General features: G+C 37.6%; 1 protein-coding gene across 6 annotated transcripts in view, besides 1 other annotated feature; it reads right to left on the bottom strand.

Annotated features, from left to right (window-relative positions):
* ACYP2 (acylphosphatase 2) overlaps nucleotides 1-20068 on the bottom strand; it is a 334188-nt gene that overhangs the window by 149421 nt on the left and 164699 nt on the right. For 5 of the 6 annotated variants that reach the window (NM_001320586.2, NM_001320587.2, NM_001320589.2 and 2 more), the window contains one exon: nucleotides 17132-17241. In NM_001320586.2, coding sequence (NP_001307515.1) covers nucleotides 17132-17241 — 110 coding nt within the window. Of the gene's footprint in view, nucleotides 1-12563; nucleotides 13998-17131; nucleotides 17242-20068 lie in introns of those variants that run through there. The other variant, NM_001320590.2, reaches the window with a different exon arrangement.
* Nucleotides 11734-12028: a silencer, noted in NCBI's record as "tiled region #3084; K562 Repressive non-DNase unmatched - State 11:FaireW". NCBI's record gives its function as "represses a minimal TATA promoter and a strong SV40 promoter by Sharpr-MPRA in K562 cells {active_cell/tissue: K562}" and the evidence as "EXISTENCE:reporter gene assay evidence [ECO:0000049][PMID:27701403]".

Here is a 20068-nt window from a genome sequence, read left to right as displayed (position 1 = left end):
AGAAATCTTGGAAAATTCACAAATATGTGGAAATTAACATGTTACTAAACAACCAATGAGTCAAAGAAGAAATCAAAAGCGAAATTTAAAAATATCTTGAGACAAAAATGAAAACACAACACATACCAAAACTTATGGGATGCAGCAAAAGCAATTCTAAGAGGGAAATTTATAGCAATAAATGGCTCTATGCACCAGGGACCAGTTTGGTGGAAGACAGGAAGGAAGCAGGTAGGGTTTCAGGATGAAACTGTTCCACCTCAGATCATCAGGCATTAGTTAGATTCTCATGAAGAGTGAACAACCTGTATCCCTCGCATGCGCAGTTCACAATAGGGTTCGCTCTGCTATAAGACTCTAATGCTGCCACTGATCTGGCAGGAAGTGGAGCTCAGGTGGTACTGCCACTCACCTCCTGCTGTGTGGTCCAGTTCCTAACAGGTCACAAGGGTTGGGGACCCCTGCAGTCTATCAGAAAAGAATAAATATCACAAATAATATTATGTTATACCTCAAGGAAGCAGAAAAAGAAAAAGCCTAAATGTAGCAGAAGGAAAAAAATGACAAAGATCAGGGCAAAAATAAATAAAATAGAGACTAGAAAAACAATAGAAGAAAAATCAATGAAACCAGCAGTGGTTTCTTGAAAAGATAAACAAAATCGACAAACCTACAGTTAGGTTAACCTAGAAAAAAAAGTGAAAAGATTCAAATAAATAAAATGAGAAATAAAAGAGGAGACACTGTGATTTATACCACAGAATACAAAGAATCATAAAGATTAGTACGAACAAACAACCATATGCCAATAAATTGAATAATCTAGAAGAAATGGATATATTCCTAGAATTTATCCTACCACATATAACCTACCAATACTAAATCAAGAAGATATAGAAAATCTGAACAGACCAATAATAATTGAATTGGTAATTCAAAAAGACTAAATCAATAATACAAACTTTCCCATCAAAGAAAAGCCCAAGACTGGAAGTGTTACTGATGAATTCTGCCAAACATTTAAACTAATATCAATCCTTTTTGAACTCTTCCAAAAAATCGAAGAGGATGTAATACTTTTGAACTCTTTTTATGAGGTTAGCATTACCTTGATACCAAAGCCAGACAAGAACATTATGAGAAAAGAAAATTACAGGCCAATATCCCTGATGAACATAGATGCAAAAATCCTCAACAAAATACGAATAAGCCAAATTCAACAGCACATTAAAAGGATCATTCACCATGATCAAGTGGAATTTATCCCAGGGATACAAAGATGATTCAACACATGCAAATCTATAAATGGAGAACACCATATTAACAGAATGAAGGACAAATACTATATGATCACCACATTAGATGCAGAAAAGGCATCTGATAAAATTCAACATCCTTTCACTAATAAATTAGTATAGAAGAAATGTATATCAACATAATAAAGGCCATATATGAAAAGCCCACAGCAAACATTACACACAATGGTGAAAAATGGAAAACTTTTTCTCTAAGATCAGGAACAAGACCAGGATGCCCACTCTCATCATTTCTATTTAATGTAGTACTGGATGTCCTTGTGGAGCAATTATGTAAGAGAAAGAAGTAAAAGGCATTCAAATAGGAAAGGAAAAACTTAAAATTGTCACTGTTTGCTGATGACAAAAACCATAAAGACTCTACCAAAAAACTGTTAGAAGTGATAAATAGTAAAGTTGAAGAATACAAAGTCAACACGCAAAAATCAGTAGCATTCCTATACACTAGCAACAGACTATCTAAAGAAATATAGAAAACAGTCTCATTTACAACAGCCATCAAAAAAAAAAACCTTAGGAGAATAAGTTTAACCAATGAGATGAAAGCTCTGTACACTGAAAAATATAACATTGATTAAAGAAATTGAAGAAGACATAAATAAATATAAGGATATTCCACGTTCATGGATTGGAAGAATTAATATTGTTAAAAAGTCCAACTACGGGCCAGGTGCGGTGGCTCATGCCTATAATCCCAGCACTTTGGGAGGCCGAGGCAGGCAGATCACGAGGTCAGGAGATTGAGACCATTCTGGCTAACTCAGTGAAACCTCATCTCTACTAAAAAATGCAAAAAATTAGCCGGGTGTGGTGGCAGGCACCTGTAGTCCCAGGCACTCGAGAGGCTGAGGCAGGAGAATGGTGTGAACCCAGGAGGCAGAGCTTGCAGTGAGCCGAGATCACGCCACTGCACTCCAGCCTGGGTGACAGAGCGAGACTCTGTCTCAAAAAAAAAAAGAAAAAAAAAAAAGTCCACACTACCCAAAATGACCTTCAGCTTCAATGCAATCCCTATTAACATTTCAATGACATTTTTCACAGAAATAGAAAAAGTTATTTTGAAATTTATATAGAACCACACACACATGAAAAAAAAAAAAAAACCCTAAGTAGCCCAGGCAATTTGAGCAAAAAGAACAAAGCTGGAGGCAACATTCTACCTGACTTCAAACTATATTACAAAGCTGTAGTAATTAAAACAGCATGGTACTGACATAAAAATAGAAACATCATCCAATGGAACAGGATAGAGAGCCCAGAAATAAACCCACATATTTACAGTCAACTGATTTTTTTTTTTCCAAAGGTTCCAAGAACACACGATGGGGCAAAGACAGTCTCTTCAATAAAGAATAATGGGAAAACTGGACATCCACATGCAGAAGAGTGAGATTTGACCCTTATGTCACACCATATACAAAACACAACTCGAAATGGATTAAAGACTTAAACACAAGACCTGAAACTGATTTTAAAAACATACTATAAGAAAACATAGGGGGAAAACTGTGTACCCTATAATTATATATGATTATAATTTTGAAAAAATACATTTTTAAAAAAGTAATCAGTCTCATAATTGACAAAACTTGGAAGAAACCAGCTGAGCATGGTGGCTTGAGCCTGTAATACCAGCTACTTGAAAGGCTGAGGTGGGAGGCTCACTTAAGGCCAGGTTTTGAGACCAGCCTGGGCAACACAGAAAGACCCTATCTCTAAAAAAATTAATAAAATAACAAATTTGGAAGCAACCAAGGTGTCTCTCAATAAGTGAATATATAAACAACTTGTGGCACACCCAAACAATAAAATAGTATTCAGCAATAAGAAGAAATGAAATGTCAAGCCATAAAAATACATGAAGGAACCTTAAAGACATGTATCTAAGTGAATGAAGCCAATGTGAAAATATATACTATATTATTCCATCTATATAACATTCTGGGCAAAGCAAAACTAGGGAGACAGTAAAGACATCAGTGGTTGTCAGGGGCTAGAGGGAGAGAAGGAGGGATGAATAAGCAGAGCACATGGGATTTTTAGTGTAGTGGAACAATTCTCTGTGATACTATAATGGTAGACACATGCCATCATACATTTATCAAAACCAGTAGAATGTACAACATCACAAGTGAACTCTGGACAGGCACAGTGGCTCATGCCAGTAATCCCAGCACTTTGGGAAGCTGAGGTGAGAAGACTGCTTGAGCCCAGGACTTTGAGACCAGCCCGGGAAACATAGCGAGATCCCATCTCTACAAAAAATAAAGAATAAAAAAATTAGCTGAGCATCATGTACGTGTTTTTAGTCCCAGCTACTCAGGAGGCTGAGGCAGGAGTATCACTTGAGCCCAGGAGTCCAAGGTTATAGTGAGCTATGACCATGCCATTACACAGCAGCCTGGGAACAGAGCAAAACTCTGCCTCAAAAAAAAAAAAAAAAAAAAAGAGTCAACCCTAATGTAACCTATCAGCTTAGTTATTAATAATATATCAATATTGGCTCATCAATTGTAACAAATATACTACATAATGCAAGATGTTAATAATGGGGGAAACTGAGGGACCTAGGGAATTGGGTGTGAGGAAATATATGGAAACTCTCTGTAGTTTCCACTCAATTTTTCTGCAAACCTAAAGCTGCTCTAAAAAAGAAAGTCTATTAATTTTTTTAAGTAATTAGTTGCTACCTGAGAAAGCTGATTAAAGAAAAAAAGATAAAAAGTAATTAGTACTGCATTATGCATTTCTTTTATTAAATATGATTACCTTACTAAATGCACATATATAAAATATGAACTTTAAAGTAAAAACTATACCCTTAAGTCATTTTAATATAGATCGGTTATGTTCTAAAGGAAAATAAATGATTTAGTATTTGAGGTCTAAAGCCTGGTGTTAGAATTCCAACTCTACTGTAGATATTTTTCATGTTCCTAGTTTTCCATTAGAGTAATTTATATCAATTAGACTAAACTATTCTTTTTCCAAAATTACAGCTCCTCAGTGAATTTTGTTCCCCTAAAAAAATACCTTCTATGTTTCAATAGAACATCCAATGGAACCTTTCTTAATAACCCTGTCTATTTGTGTAAAAAGGAACTTGATGAATAAAGTATAAAAATATTAGCAAAGTACCTTGAAATACTCAGATGAAAAAGCAAGGAAAAGCTAGCCACTCTGGTTGCACAGACATTCATGCCACTAATGGTCTGCTGGAGAAAAGTTATTTTTGAAAATATTAAATAACTTTGAATCTGACACCACCTAATTGTTCACAAAATCCATTGTTGCATTTCAATTTACCATTGTCACAACTGGAAACTCAAAAAAATGTCAATTCATAGTTAAGGCAGAAAGGTGTTCAAATTTCATATTTCACACAAATGTCAAGTATTAATATCTATGGAAGAGGTAAACACAACTCTATTAGTGAGTATCTCTATTCTAATTCTAACTCTTGAACTATGAACACATTTTAAGTACATGCGCAATCATCAGCTCTGTATAGAAACACAGAATCTGCCGGGCGCGGTGGCTCACCCCTGTAATCCCAGCACTTTGGGAGGCCGAGGTGGGCGGATCACGAGGTCAGGAGATCGAGACCATCCTGGCTAAAACAGTGAAACCCCGTCTCTACTAAAAATACAAAAAATTAGCCGGGCGTGGTAGTGGGCGCCTGTAGTCCCAGCTACTCGGGAGGCTGAGGCAGGAGAATGGTATGAACCCGGGAGGCGGAGCTTGCAGTCAGCCAAGATTGCACCACTGCCCTCTAGCCTGGGCGACAGAGCAAGACTCCGTCTCACAAAAAAAAAAAAAAAAAAGAAAGAAACGCAGAATCTAGCCAAGCGCCGTGGCTCACACCCGCAATCCCAGCACTTTGGGAGGCCGAGATGGGCCGATCACCCCAGGTCAGGAATTGGAGACCAGCGTGGACAACATGGTGAAACCCCATCTCTACTAAAAATACAAAAATTAGCTGCGTATGGTGGCCCACGCCTGTAATCTCAGCTACTCAGGAGGCTGAGGCAGGAGAACTGCTTGAACCCAGGAGGCAGAGACTACAATGAGCCGAGTATCAGGGCACTGCACTCCAGCCTGGGCCACAAGGCGAAACTCTGTCTTAAAAAACAAACAAACAAACAAAAAAGAAACACAGAATCTTAGCTGGACAGGACCTCAGAGGACATCTAGTCTAACATACCATTTGATGAGTTAGACCTACAACACCCTCGGCTTGTCTGACAGCTGTTATACAGTGAGCAGCAAACCCTTTTCTGTAGAAGGCCAGATGGTAAATAGTTCAGGCTTTGAGGCCATCCAGTCTTTGTTGTAACAACTCCACTCTGCCCATGTACCACAAAAGCAGTCATAGCCAAAACATAAATAAATGGGTGTGGCTGTGCTCCAATAAAACTTCATTTACTAAACTTGCAAAACAGGCCGTGGGTTGCCAATCCCTGATCTAGACTACTCCTAGGTATTGATAAAATTCCACCATTATATACATTTAATGACTTTACAGGAAAACTTGTTGTCAGGGTCAGCTGAAATAAGCAAATTCAGCAAATTCACCCATGGCTCCAATCAAGATTATTGCCTTCTGGAAAAAGAGAGAACATTTACCCTTTCCTATGTATCAGCCCTTCAAATACTTGAAGGAAGCTATCATGATTTCAAGTATTTTTTCTCCAGCTAAATTCCCCAATGCCTTCAAGCATTCCTTGTATTATGACATAGTTTTCCAGGCCATGTAACCATTTCATCATCCTCTTATATACATATACCAGTCCTTTAATAATCCTTTGAAGTGCAGAGGACTGATACATAACATACGGTTTAAAAAATATGTAGCAATCAAGATGTAATTTTAATTTTAGAATTTGGCTATCTCCAAATACAAGTGTTTTATTTTACAAAACTACCATTGAGTCTTTATGGAAAATATATTTTCTGAGGACTTATTCAAAGGCTTATGCTCAGTGTCATAACACTGTACATTAATTTAACATGATTACTAAGAAACAGAAAATATTCTTAATTTTGCAAAAAAAAAGACATAATAAAACAATAGATTCAAAACAGTCCTTATGCATCAAAAAATGTTGGCAGAACTTACCACTGCAATTGGAATAATATAGTACAATTTGCAAAAGAAAGTCATCAGTCATTCTTTTTGAGAAAATAAAACACAGAAGAAGAAAACACACACATCCACAGTGTGTTCTTACATGCTGCTGGCTTGTTAGTAAAGACAGAGCAGGGCTGCTATAATCACAGCCAGGCCATCTCTAAATGATGGTCCCTGTTGTATTCCACATTTTCATGGCCTGGGAAGAAACAAATGTGGTTTTTTTAAAGGCAATTTAATTCAGATTTCTGCAACTTACTGTCATTGCATTTTAAAAAATTTTTCTCTTTTTAAAAATAGCTATAAGAAAGTAAGGCCCATGCCCAGCTAATTTTTGTGTTTTTTGTACTGATGGGGTTTCATCATGTTGCCCAGGCTGGTCACGAATTCTTGAGCTCAAGCAATCCACCCACCTCACCCCTCAAAGTGTTGGGATTACAGGTGTGAGCCACCGTTCCTGGACTGGCACTATTAGGTTGGTGCAAAAGTAATTGCGGTTTTTGCCATTACTCTTGCACCAACCTAATATATAGCTACAAATGTGCCACACTGAGTCTGACTTTGCAACTATTTTTGCAACATCTCTTATTGTGATTCAATTTCTTGATAATTCAGTACCTTAATATATTGCACTAGAGGAATAAATTCATTTTTTAAAACCTAAACATGTAACATCACAACTTATAATGTTGGTTAAGCTTAATTTACATTCTCCAGTGTCTTCTTCCTGCTTGCTTGTCATTACACAACTTCTCCCTGGATAATCCCATCCATGTATGTGGCTTCAAACACTATCCACATACTGATGACAACCAAATTAATTTCTCTAGCCCAATTTCTCTGCAGGGATGACCCATTTATCTAGGAGCCTAGTGGCATCTCCACCTGATCATTCCAACTGCCACGAGACAACATGTACAAAGTGGAGCATATGGGTCATAACATAGTAGCAAATATTTATTGATTATTACTACATGCCAGGCACTGCACTAAGTGCTTCATATGGATTTTCTCGCTTAATTTTCACCATGCAATTACACATGGCATGTCTATCTTCTTTCACCTGAAGCCCCATTAAAATGATAGCATCAAAATATGAAAGATGTAACAGATTGTTCATTGACTACCTAGTATACACCCATCCCCATCCCCTTCTTCCTGGCCAAGAGAATTTTTTTTTCAGGGCATCAAAAAACCAAGCCAATTTCTCAGTCTCCCTTGTAGCAAGGAGTAACCATATGACCCTATTTGAGCCAATGGAACACAAGTAGATATCTGTTTGGGGTGGGTCAGGAAAAGCAACACAATCCTTTACTCGTTCCTGCCTTAACTGTGGATATCATGTGCAGCTGCACTTTTCCTTTTTTGACCATGAGGAAAAGGCCAAGACAACCACAGAGACATTGGTCCAGACATTATTGAGCTACTGAACTAAGGCCAGTAACCATCTGCCTCCAAACTTCTTATTACTGAGAAAAATGAACCCTTTTTTTATATCCATTTTTAAGTCCAGTTTTCTGTTAACTTATAGCTGAAAATATTCCTAGCTGGTACAAAACTATAACCTAAACAAGAGGTTTCAACAAATAATTAGTAGGAAAACAGAGGGGCCAGGTGTGGTAACTCACGCCTGTAATCCCAACACTTTGGGAAGCCGAGGCAGAAGGATCACTTGAGGCCAGGAGTTGAAGACCAGCATAGACAACATAGTAGGACCCTGTCTCTACAAAAAATTAAAAAATTAGCTAGGTATGGTGGTGCACACCTGCAGTCCTAGCTACTCGGGAGGCTGAGGTAAGAGGATCACTTGAGCCCAGGAGATCAAGGCTGCAGTGAGCTATGACTGAGCCACCGCACTCCAGCCTGGGCAACAGAGCAAGATCCTGCCTAAAAACAAAAAGAAAGAAGGAAAGCAAGTGGAGAAGGAGTAACTATACAGTAAACCAAAGGATGTTACAGACTAAGTGCCTACAGAAATAATGAGAAGCAAGTCAGCTTACCCCCATGGACCTCACAGAAGACTCAGGATTTGGAGACACCACTGCAGAAGACAGAACGCATAGATCTGACATTTGGAGATTCACTAACAAAAATGCCAGTTCCCCACCCAGTCACCACCATTCCTCAAGCCCATAAGTCTACATATTGGAAAATTTCCTTAAGTCCTGCTTATTGTTGGCTGTTTTGATTTATGTATGACTAAGTTACTGAAAATATGATTGTAAGGAAAGCCGGCAATATAAAAGATAAGCAAAACAAGCAAACAGGAGAAAAATGGAAAGAAGAAGAGAAAGAAAAGAAAAGTAACTTAGAAGAAATAGAAACAATGCAAAAAGCAGCCAGGCACGGTGGCTCACACCTATAATCCCAGCACTTTGGGAGGCTGAGGCTGGCAGATCACCTGAGGTCAGGAGTTTGAGACCAGCCTGGCCAACATGGTGAAACCTCCATCTCTACTAAAAATACAAAAATTAGCTGGGTGTGGTGGTGGATGCCTGTAATCCCTGCTACTCAGGAGGCTGAGGCAGGAGAACTGCTTGAACCTGGGAGGTGGAGGTTGCAGTGAGGCGAGATCATGCCACTGCACTCTAGCCTGGGCAACAGAGCAAGACTCTGTCTCAAAAAAAAAAAAAGAGACAATGCAAAAATCAGAAGAATACTTTGAAAAGAAAGATACACATAATATCCTCAGAGAGATTTGGGGAAAACAACAACAAGAATGAGATGCTATGAAAGAGAAACAATTAAGATAGAGCAGCAGAAACAAACAAAAATAATAGAAAGGTTGGAAGACAAAGTTGAGCTAATTTCCCACATAATAACAAATGGAAACTAGGTGAGAAAAGTTTAAAATCAGGGGCCGGGCATGGTGGCTCACACCTGTAATCCCAGCACTTTGGGAGGCCATGGCAGGCGGATCACTTGAGGCCAGGGGTTCAAGACCAGACTGGCCAACAGGGTAAAATCCAGTCTGTAATAAAAAAAAAAAAAAATAGAGGATCAGGTCCATACAGAAGTTCTAAAAGAAGAGGGTCCAAAAGAGATAGGGAAGGAAATTGTCAAAGAAAAAACATTCTCCTCCAAGTGCATTTACAGCAAAATTAAAACATGCACAAAGGCAGATGGTTGTGAAAATGGAGAAGAGAGATAAGTGGAATATCTGACAAACTTTCTGAGGGAATAAACAGGTATAACTCCCAATCCTTTGTATTCGAATGACATCAAACCTCTCAACAGCAACACTGTAAGTTATGGAACTATGCCTTCAAAATTCTTAGTGTGAGATTATTTTTGGCATAGAATTTTGTAAGTCAATCAGTCAAGCACAAGGGTAAATGAAGGCATGCAGAGATGCAAACTTTTTGCCTCTCATGCACCTTTCCTTCGGAAGCTTATAGAGAATTATGTTTCTGCAAAATAAGAGAATAAATCAAGAATGATTAAAACATATGATTAAGGACACAGGAGCCTGCTCTACAGGAAAGCAGCGAAGAGCAACACCAGAGTGACAGTTGTGTAGCAAACCCAGACCCAGACTGGAAGACAGGCCTCCAGGAAAAAGCATGACAGACAGGTTGTGTGATGCACTTTGACATTTGCACATAGATCTGTGTGGGATTTGGAATACATATTGATGGATATATAGAGTTTCTGTTTTCTGTATATAGTCAAACATTAGATTGAACAACATGAAATTGTTGTTTTATAGATTAAAATATTGTCAAGTATTGATAGTTTAATATCATTTGACCAAATTTACAGGTGAATAATATAATGCCGGAAATTTGCTTTAAATACTCTAACAATGACAAAAAAAAAGTTGGAGGAATATATGAAACAAGAATGTCTGAAAGCATACTGTTATTGAAAGTGGGTAATGGGCACATGAGCTTCACTGTCCTTTTTTCTCTATTCATGTATGTGTTTGAAAATCCCATCATAAAAAAATATAAAAAGAGAAAAGTATAGCAACACCAAAATGTACATTTTAATAATCTTTCGCACACTGAACTAATCCTAGGACTGCTTGCCCCAGCCTGTTTGGAAAGTGGGAAAAATCAGTTCCTTCATTCAAGCACTTTAATCAGGTATCCTGTTACTTGCAGCCTAAAGCATCCTAATTTAATCATAGATCCTAGCTGATCAATCCAAAATATATCATGTCATTTATCACAAGGATTTAACAAAATTTTTTAAGTAGAAATCTTCTAGGCCTCGTTCTCAGATTATAATCAAATAAAAATAGAAATAAATAATAAACAATTACTTTAAAAGTTTTAACTGGGAATTTTACAAACACAAACTCAGAATCCCATTAGTTACAGTATTAGTTCAAAGAAGAAATAAAAAATGAAATTACAAACTATCCAGAAAGCAAGGAAGGAACAATTACTACCAAAACCAATGGAAAAGAAAAAAACTGTATTCAGGAGAAAATGCCTAATCACCTTCATTATTAACTTTAAAAAACTAAAAACAACGGCAACTAGGACTCATGTTGAAGACTTAGAGGAGCAACAAACAAAGAAAGAAGAGGAAATTAATAAAGATGGAAGTTGAAATTAATGAAATGTAACCCTCCCAAAAATTATAATCAATAAATCTAAAAGCTGTTTTTTAAAAATATACCAATTAAGTAGATAAATTCTGTCAGAGCTTGATTAAGGAAAAAGGAGGAGAAAATGAAGTTCTACAAGATTAGGAATTTTCAAAGGGCATATAAGCACAGATGCAAAAGAGATTTTTTTTTTTTTTTTTTGAGACAGAGTCTTGCTCTGGAGCCCAGGCTAGAGTGCAGTGGCATGATCTTGGCTCACTGCAACCTCTGGCTCCTGGGTTCAAGCGATTCTCCTGCTTCAGCCTCCCAAGTAGCTGGGATTACAGGTGTGTACCACCACGCCTGGCTAATTTTTGTATTTTTAGTAGAGACGGGGTTTCACCATGTTGGCCAGGCTGGTCTCAAACTCCTGACCTCATAATCTGCCCACCTCAGCCTCCCAGAGTGCTGGGGTTACAGGCGTGAGCCACCGCACCGGCCGAGATTTTTTAAATTATAAAATTTATCGCAACAAATTTGAAAACCTAGAAAAATTGGATAATTTCCTAGCAAAATAAAAAGGAATCCAAGAACATCTGGAAAACTCAACTATATCAGTTACTTGCTGGGTGCAGTGGCTCACACCTGTAATCCTAGCACTTTGGGAGGCCGAGGCAGGAGGATCGTTTGAGCTCAGAAGTTCAACACCAGCCTGGGCAACGTAATGAGACCTCACCTCCACAAAAAAATTTTTAAAAATTAGTTGGACATGGTGGTGCATACCTGTATTCCTAGCTACTTGGGTGGCTGAGATGGAAGCATCACTTAAACCCAGCAGGTCAAGGCTGCAGTGAGCTGTGATTGTGCCATTGCACTCCAGCTTGGGTGACAGAGCAAAACGTTTTCTCAAAAAACAAACATACCAGTTACCACAGGGTAGATTGAAAAGGTGGTTAAAGGTCAACATTGAGAAGGCAGCAGGACCAGGTGATTTCCTAATTTGTTTCCACTAACCTAAGAACAGTAATTCTGATATTTTAGTTATTCCAGAATGAAGAGAAGGATGGAAAACTTCCTAATATGTTTTGTGAAGCCAATAAAACTTTAAAATCAAAACATGATAGAATACCCCCCCCCCAAAAAAAAAAAAAAAAAAAAAAAACCGGCTGGGTATGGTGGCTCATGCCTGTAATCCCAGCATTTTGGGAGGCCGAGACAGGCAGATCATGAGGTCAGGAGTTCGAGGCCAGCCTGGCGAATATGGTGAAACCCTGTCTCTACTAAAAATACAAAAATTAGCTGGGAGTGGTGGCATATGCCTGTAATCCCAGCTACTCGGGAGGCTGAGGCAGAAGAATTGCTTGAACCCAGGAGGCAGAGGTTGAAGTAAGCCAAGATCGTACCATTGCACTCCAGCGTGGGCAACAAAGCGAGACTCCACCAAAACAAAACAAAACAAAACAAAAACCTTACGTGACTTATATATATACAAAAGTTCTAAATAAAATATTGGCAAGCAATACTTGGCAATTCAGCAATAATTTAAAAGAATAACACACTGTAACCAATCAAAGGCTAATTCAAGGAATGCAAAAGTAAAATTTATTGTGATAAAGTATATTTACCTAAAACCAACAGCAAACATCTTTTTACTAGGTGAAACAATAAAACTATTTTAAATAAAGTCAGAAACCAAACAGGCATGCCTGCTATGGCTATTATTATTCAACATTGTCATGGCAGGTCTGACAAATGAAGTCACTGAAACAAAGATACACCATTTTTACTAATTGCATAACTGTATTTTTTAAAAACCCAATAGACTATAGTTTTTTAAAAAACTGATAGAATTAATAAGAATATCTGATAAGGTAATACTATGATATCTAATTAATACACAAAAGTCATTAGATATTCCATATTTAAGCATGAACAACTAGAAGCATAAATGGGAAAGAAATCCATATGCAATAGTGAAAAAGTCATTAAGATACTTAGAAATAACTTAGCAAGAAAAGTACAAAAACCTATATAAAGAAAACCATAAAATCATACTGAAGGATAAATTTTAAAATCTAAGCAAATGGAACAACATCTGTGTGTTCTTAAATGGGAAGATTTAATATCATAAAAATGTCACTTCTGTCTTTATTTTTATTTTATTTTATTTTTTTTGGGACAGGCTACTCCCATTGCCCAGACTGGAGTGCGGTGGTGCAATCTCATCTCATTGCAACCTCTGCCTCCCAGACTCAAGCGATTCTCTTGCCTCAGCCTCCCAAGTAGCTGGGACAACAGGCGTGTGCCACCAACCCCAGCTAGTTTTTGTATTTTTTGTAGAGACACGATCTCGCTGTGTTGGACAGGCTGGTCTTGAACTCCTGACCTCAAGTGATCCGCCCGCCTCAGCCTCCCGAAGTGCTGGGATTACAGGCATGAGCCACTGCACCCAGCCAAAATGTCACTTCTCTTAATTTCAAGAGAATGCCCAATTAAAAAGCAAATACAATAATGGGATCCTAAGACATAAAATGGACATTAGGTAAAAATTGAAATCTAAATAAATAGGGATTTTAGTTAATACTAATGTATCCATATTGGTCCATTAATTGTTAACATACGTATCATATTAATGTAAAATGTTAATAGGAGGAAAACTGTGTGGGGAGTATATGGAAAGTCTCTGTACTATCTTCACAATTTTTCTGTAAATATAAAACTGTTCTCAAAAATAAAGTTTATTTTTGTAATCCCAGCACTTTGGGAGGCTGAGGCAGGAAAGTCATTTGAAGCCAAGAGTCCTATACCAGCCTGAGCAACATAGTGAGACACTATCTCTACAAAGCAACAACAACAACAACAACAACAACAACAACAAAATATACACACACACACACACACACACACACACAAATTAGCCAGCATGTGCACTCAGGAGGTTGACGTGGGAAGATCACTTGAGCCCAGAAGGTCAAGGCTGCAGTGAGTCTAGATCAGACCACTGCACTCCAGCCTAGGAGAGAGAGCAAGACCCTTGTCTCAAAAAATAAATAAATACATAAAGTTTATCTTAAAAGCATATGTGTGACACAATCATGTAAGTTTTCTTTTTAATAAACAGAATAGAATTCCAGTTAAATAGGTAAAAGTATCTTAAAGTTAAGAGAGGAAACAAATGCCCAAGAAAGCAAATAAAAGAATCAAAAAGAACAGTGAGAGGAAATATACTGTGGAGATAGTATAATTAAATCAATATGGTATACTGATGTAGGAACAGAGAAATAGATCAGTGGAACAGAATAGAGAATTCAGAAATAAAATCCAGTCTATATGAGATTTTAACGTATGACAAAAATGTATTTCAATGCAATGGGGGAAAGAGTGATTATTTAGTAAGTGGCGCCAGGACAACTGGCTATTCATCTGGTAGAAAATAGTTGGTCCAATATCTCATCTTTTAAATAAAAAACAAATTCCAGATGGAGTAAATGCTTAAATGTAATAAATAGAGCATCAAGTTAGAAGAAAACCTGGGCGACAACACTTACAATCTGTTTCTTAACCAGAGAGAAAAAAATAGCCATATTTGAGTTAATAAAAATGAAAAACAATTTATGTTGCAAAGCTATCATAGACGAAACCAATAGGCAAATTATAGATTTGGGAAAATACCTGCAAAAGCAATAACAGATAATGGGTTAGTAACCATAACCAATATACAAAGAGCTTTTAAAAATTGGCAAGAGACAAGCAACTCGATAGAAAAATGGGTAAAGGATGTGAAAAGGGAGTTCATGAGAACAAATTCACAGACATAAGCATAAAGATGCTCCAACTTACTAGTCATTAGAGAAATGCAAATTACAGCAAAAAATAATAATCACTCACAACCAATCAGGTAAAAGAAAAATTAGAGAGTACAATACCAATTGCTGACAGGATGAGGAGGAAAACAATGTAAATTGTTTACAGCTGTTTTGTAAAGCAGTCTGACAAATATTTTTACATTAAAAATACATAGCCACTTCAACCAACAAATCACACTCCTGGGAACCTATGCAATCAAAATAAAATCACCAATAAAATTTTATTGCAGCATTGCTCTTATTGCAAAAAACAAGACAGAAAAAAATGCATTTCCAGCAATAAGGTAATAATAAATCTATATATTGTGGAATATTAAGTAGCCAATAAAAAGAATGAATTAGAGATTACCATTCGACTTGAAAGGATTTTCCTGGATGTATCTTTGAGTGATAAAGTAAGATGCAGAGAAGGGAATACACCGTGATCCCATTTTTAAAAAGCAAATATTGAACAAAATCCATAAAAGTGTGTGTGTGCAAGTGTGTGTGTGTGTGTGTGTGAGAGAGAGAATGTGAACATGGAGACAAGCAGAAGAATACACACTAGCTTGCTAACACAGGTTACTTAAGAAGGGTGGAGAATGCAGGGGTTGAAAAGAAAACATGAGCACAGTGTATGATACGATTTCATTTATGTTAAGCAAATTAATCAATGACCCTCTATAATGTGGATTAGGAATATGACATGATTGGTATGAGCTTCTATCTTCCACATACTCCCCGTTTTTAAAAACTATATTATTATTTTTTTCTAGGCTCCCTCGAATCATGGGACATAATCTCTACTTTAAAACTTCCACACAATCATTTGGCATTTTCTCTTCCATTGAACTATCAGTTCTGTACAACGAAAGTCCCAAAATTTCTTGTACATTTTGTGACAATTCTACTTAAAAATATTGTTTTTCATTAACTGTCACCCCACAGTTTGTGAAACTGAACTTTTGGACCCCACTTTTCAATTTGAGGTGTAGTTTTACACACAAACACAAGTATGCACGTAAACATTTAAAATTAGAAAAATAAGGAGTTGATAATTATATATTTACTGTTTACTGAAATGTCCAGAAAATAAAAATACAAATTATGGAAAAATATGCACAAGGTATTCTATTTCGGTAAAAATCAGCAAAACCTTAATTACAAATGCATACTTAACTATTTTTAAGTGAAAGAGAAAGCTGTAGAAAGTATTCCTTGTCAGAGGTTAATAAAGGGGAGGGAAATAGACAGAAAAGTACACATTACAAGTTTTACCTTTATACTTCTCAGTGTTACGTTACTTCACTTATTACAATAAGCAAAACCTATTGCTTTGGAAATCTAAAAATATTAAGTAATGAAAACAAAGATAAATTGCAAACAATAAAATAAATTGAGTGTTACTTAGTACCTACCTCATAAGATCTGTTGTGAAGATTGAGATAATTCATACAAGGTACTTAGCATATTGCCCAACATGTAAATGCTCAATAAATGTTAGCTATTTTTTAATTTAAAAGAAAAAAGACTACAAAGAGCAGTGGAAATTATGAAGCTGAAAACACAAGGCTTTTGAAAACGTCATTGTGTACACAGGACATTTTTCCCCATATTACTGAATCTGGCCTCTCTTGGACTTCAAGGATTCATAGTTTGGTAACCCTCCAGCTCATTAAACACACTCTCATTGGCAGGAAAAATAAAATTACAATTAGATAAATAAAGCACTTAACTGTAAAAAGGAGATGGCAATCTTTTTGCCTGGAACGCTACCCTAAGAACTTCACGAACCATCCTAAGGCACTACGCATCTGTCACAACACTTCAAATGAGAATTACTTGGGCCCTGGACATCTCCCTAACGCTGGAGGAGATGCCACAGGACATACAAATTGGAGAGGGAAGCCACAATTCTTCTCGAGGCCAGCCCAAGTGGGAAGTCCATTCCTAAACATAGAAATGCTACTCCCAACTCTGAGAATTTCTTCACAGGCCTGCCTACAAACATATTAGTTTGATTGTAATCTACAAACAAAATCTGGTCCATCAATACTATTCTTACTGTCCAATGAAACATTAAAGTAGCCTTATAAGGCCAGGCACGGTGGCTCACACCTGTAGTCCCAGCTACTTGGGAGGCTGAGTCGGGGAGATCTGAGCCTGGAAGGCAGAGGTTGTAGTGAGCCGAGATTGTGCCACTGCACTCCAACCTGGGCAACAGAGCAAGACCATGTCTTAAAAAACTAAAAAACAGCAGCCTCATAAATTTCATGTACATGTTATTAATTTTACTACTCACATGGAATTGACTTTGTCTTCTGGCCCCTGCACTTGGCCTGTCACGGTGCCTTTGCTGGTATTCTTCACCCAGCCAACCACTCCTATTTTCCTAGCTTCATCTTCTGTATACTGTTTCAGGAAAAAACAAGAAGAATAAAGTGCAGCATCAAAAGTCTGAGTTCATAACATACTTGATTCTAATATCCAAAAAATGCTAACCTAATAATCATTTTTTGTAGTCAATGCCAACAATTGTATAGATGACCTACAGTAACCTCTACTTATAAGAACCTTCACATAAATGGTATCTTTTGTTAAATTTCACTTTCAGTAAAAACAATTCCACTATCATAAAAACATTATGAAAAACTACGCTGAGAGTGAGAATTATTTCAGAAACAGTTCCTATGATGTGTTTTTGGATACATAAAATTTAGCTGCATTGCCCTTAAGACTGCTAACACTAAATTACATTGTTAACCTGGGTTCCAAATCATAATCAATCCAAGATTCTCAATCACTGAGAAAAAACATATACAATTATGATCAACATAGAGTATTGATAAGCAGAAATAGAGACTACAACACTTCGAAATTTCCAGCAAAAATGAGGGAAAATCATTTTAATAAGAAAATTATAAACAACCCCATTAAAAAGTAGGCAAGGACATGGACACTTCTCAAAAGTAGACATATGTGTGGCCAAGAAGCATATGAAAAAATGCTCAATATCACCAATCATTAGAGAAATGCAAATGAAAACCACAATGAGATACCTTCTCACACCAGTCAGAATGGCGATTATTAAAAAGCCAAAAAATAACAGATGCTGGCCAGGTTGCAGAGAAAAGGGAATGCTTACAAACTGTTGGTGGGAGTGCAAACTGGTCCAGCCACTGTGGAAAGCACTGTGGCAATTCCTCAAAGAGCTAAAAACAGAACTACAATGTGACCCGGCAATTCCATTATTGGGTATATACCCAAAAGAATATAAATTGTTTCATCATAAACACACATACACACATATGTTCACTACAGCAGTATTCACAATAGCCAAGACATGGAATCAACCTAAATGCCCATCAATGGTAGACTGGATAAAGAAAATGTGGTACATATACACCATGGAATACCATGCAGCCATAAAAAAGAATGAGATCATGTCCTTTGAAGGAACATGAATGGAGCTGGAGGCCATTATCCTTAGCAAACTAACACAGGAATAGAAACCAAATATTGCATGTTCTCACGTAGAAGTGGGAGCTAAATTATGAGAATACATGGACACAGAGAGGGGAACAACAGACACTGGGGCCTACCTGAGGGTGGAGAGTGGGAGGAGGGAGAGGAGTAGAAAAAAATAACTTTTGGGTACTAGGCTTTGTACCTGGGTCATGAAATACTCTGTATAATAAACCCCCATGACACGAGTTTACCTATATAACAAACCTATATGAGTACCGCTGAACCTAAAATAATTTTTTTTTAAAAAAGAAAGAAAATTAAACTAGCAAGAACACTAACATAAACATGCTGGTTTGCAGAGTTTTTATAAGACTAAAAGATTCTGATGTTTTCTGTTGGCTCTGGACTTGGCACAGAAATGTTATAATTGTCTATGGGTAGATTTATCTCTCCTATTATTATTAATAGTCTTTTAAAATTGCCTTTTTCTAGCTCCAAATTCAGTTATGCTATGTAAGTAGCAACATTTTGATTTTGAATTATTTTAACTACATCATACTAAAATTTCTATTGATCCAGTCTACTAGAACTCTTTTTTTTTCTTCTGAGATGGAATTTCACTCTTGTCGTCCAGGCTGGAGTGCAGTGGCGCCATCTCGGCTCACTGCAACCTCTGCCTCCCAAGTTCAAGCGATTCTCCTGCCTCAGCCTCCCAAGTAGCTCGGATTACAGGCATCTGCCACCATGCCCAGCTAATTTTTGTATTTTTAGTAGAGATGGGGTTTCACTATGATGGCCAGGCTGGTCTTGAACTCCTGACCTCAGGTGATCCACCTGCCTCAGCCTCCCAAAGTGCTGGGATTACAGGCGCGAGCCACTGCATCCGGCCTTAGAACTTTTCAAAAACATACTCTTCTCCTGTATGGAGGCCAGGGTGATCAAGATCTCTACACTCCACATCCCCAGCTGTATGAAACAACACAAATCAAAATGGTAACAGCTAAGACTGATGTAAGACGTGGCCCTGAAAATAAGTCACTTTCTTATTAGATAATAACGAAAATGGAGACAATCTGAATTTTGGGGGATGGGGCTGCCTCATAATAGAGATTTTACCAGTGGGAAAATATTGGAACCCTCAGGAGTTGGGAACCAGGGACCTAATCTAGTGACCCACCTCAGATAGTAGGTGAAAATGCATGCCACAATTAAGTTGTAGGAAAGGAGTACTTTAAAAAAATTAAAAATTTAAAAGCAACATGGAGCCAGGCATGGGCATTTTGGGAGGCCAAGGCAGGTGGATAACTTGAGGTCAGGAGTTCAAGACCAGCCCAGGCAATATGGTGAAACCCTGTCTCTACTAAAAGTTAAAAAAAATTAGCTTGGCTGGGCATGGTGGCTCACACCTGTAATTCCAGCACTCTGGGAGGCTGAGGTGGCTGGATCACTTAAGGCTAGAAGTTCAAGACCAGCCTGGCCAACATGGTGAAATGCCATCTCTACTAAAAATAAAAAAGTAGCTGGATGTCGTAGCAGGCACCTGTGTAATCCCAGCTACTTGGGAGGGTGAGGCAGGAGAATCACTTGAGCCTGGAAGGCGGAGGCTGCAGTGAGCTGAGATCGCACCACTGTACTCCAGACTGGGCAACAGAATAAGACTCCGTCTCCAAACTAAATAAATAAATTTTAAAACACGACGTGGCGCTTAATCTGCTAAATCCTGGGAACCACTTCATTATGCAACATTAGCGTGTTTTGTTTTGCAGTGCAA

The sequence above is a fragment of the Homo sapiens genome, chromosome 2, assembly GCF_000001405.40.
Source record: "Homo sapiens chromosome 2, GRCh38.p14 Primary Assembly".
NCBI classification, from domain to species: Eukaryota; Metazoa; Chordata; class Mammalia; order Primates; family Hominidae; genus Homo; species Homo sapiens.
This window is presented reverse-complemented; position numbering and strand designations above follow the sequence as displayed.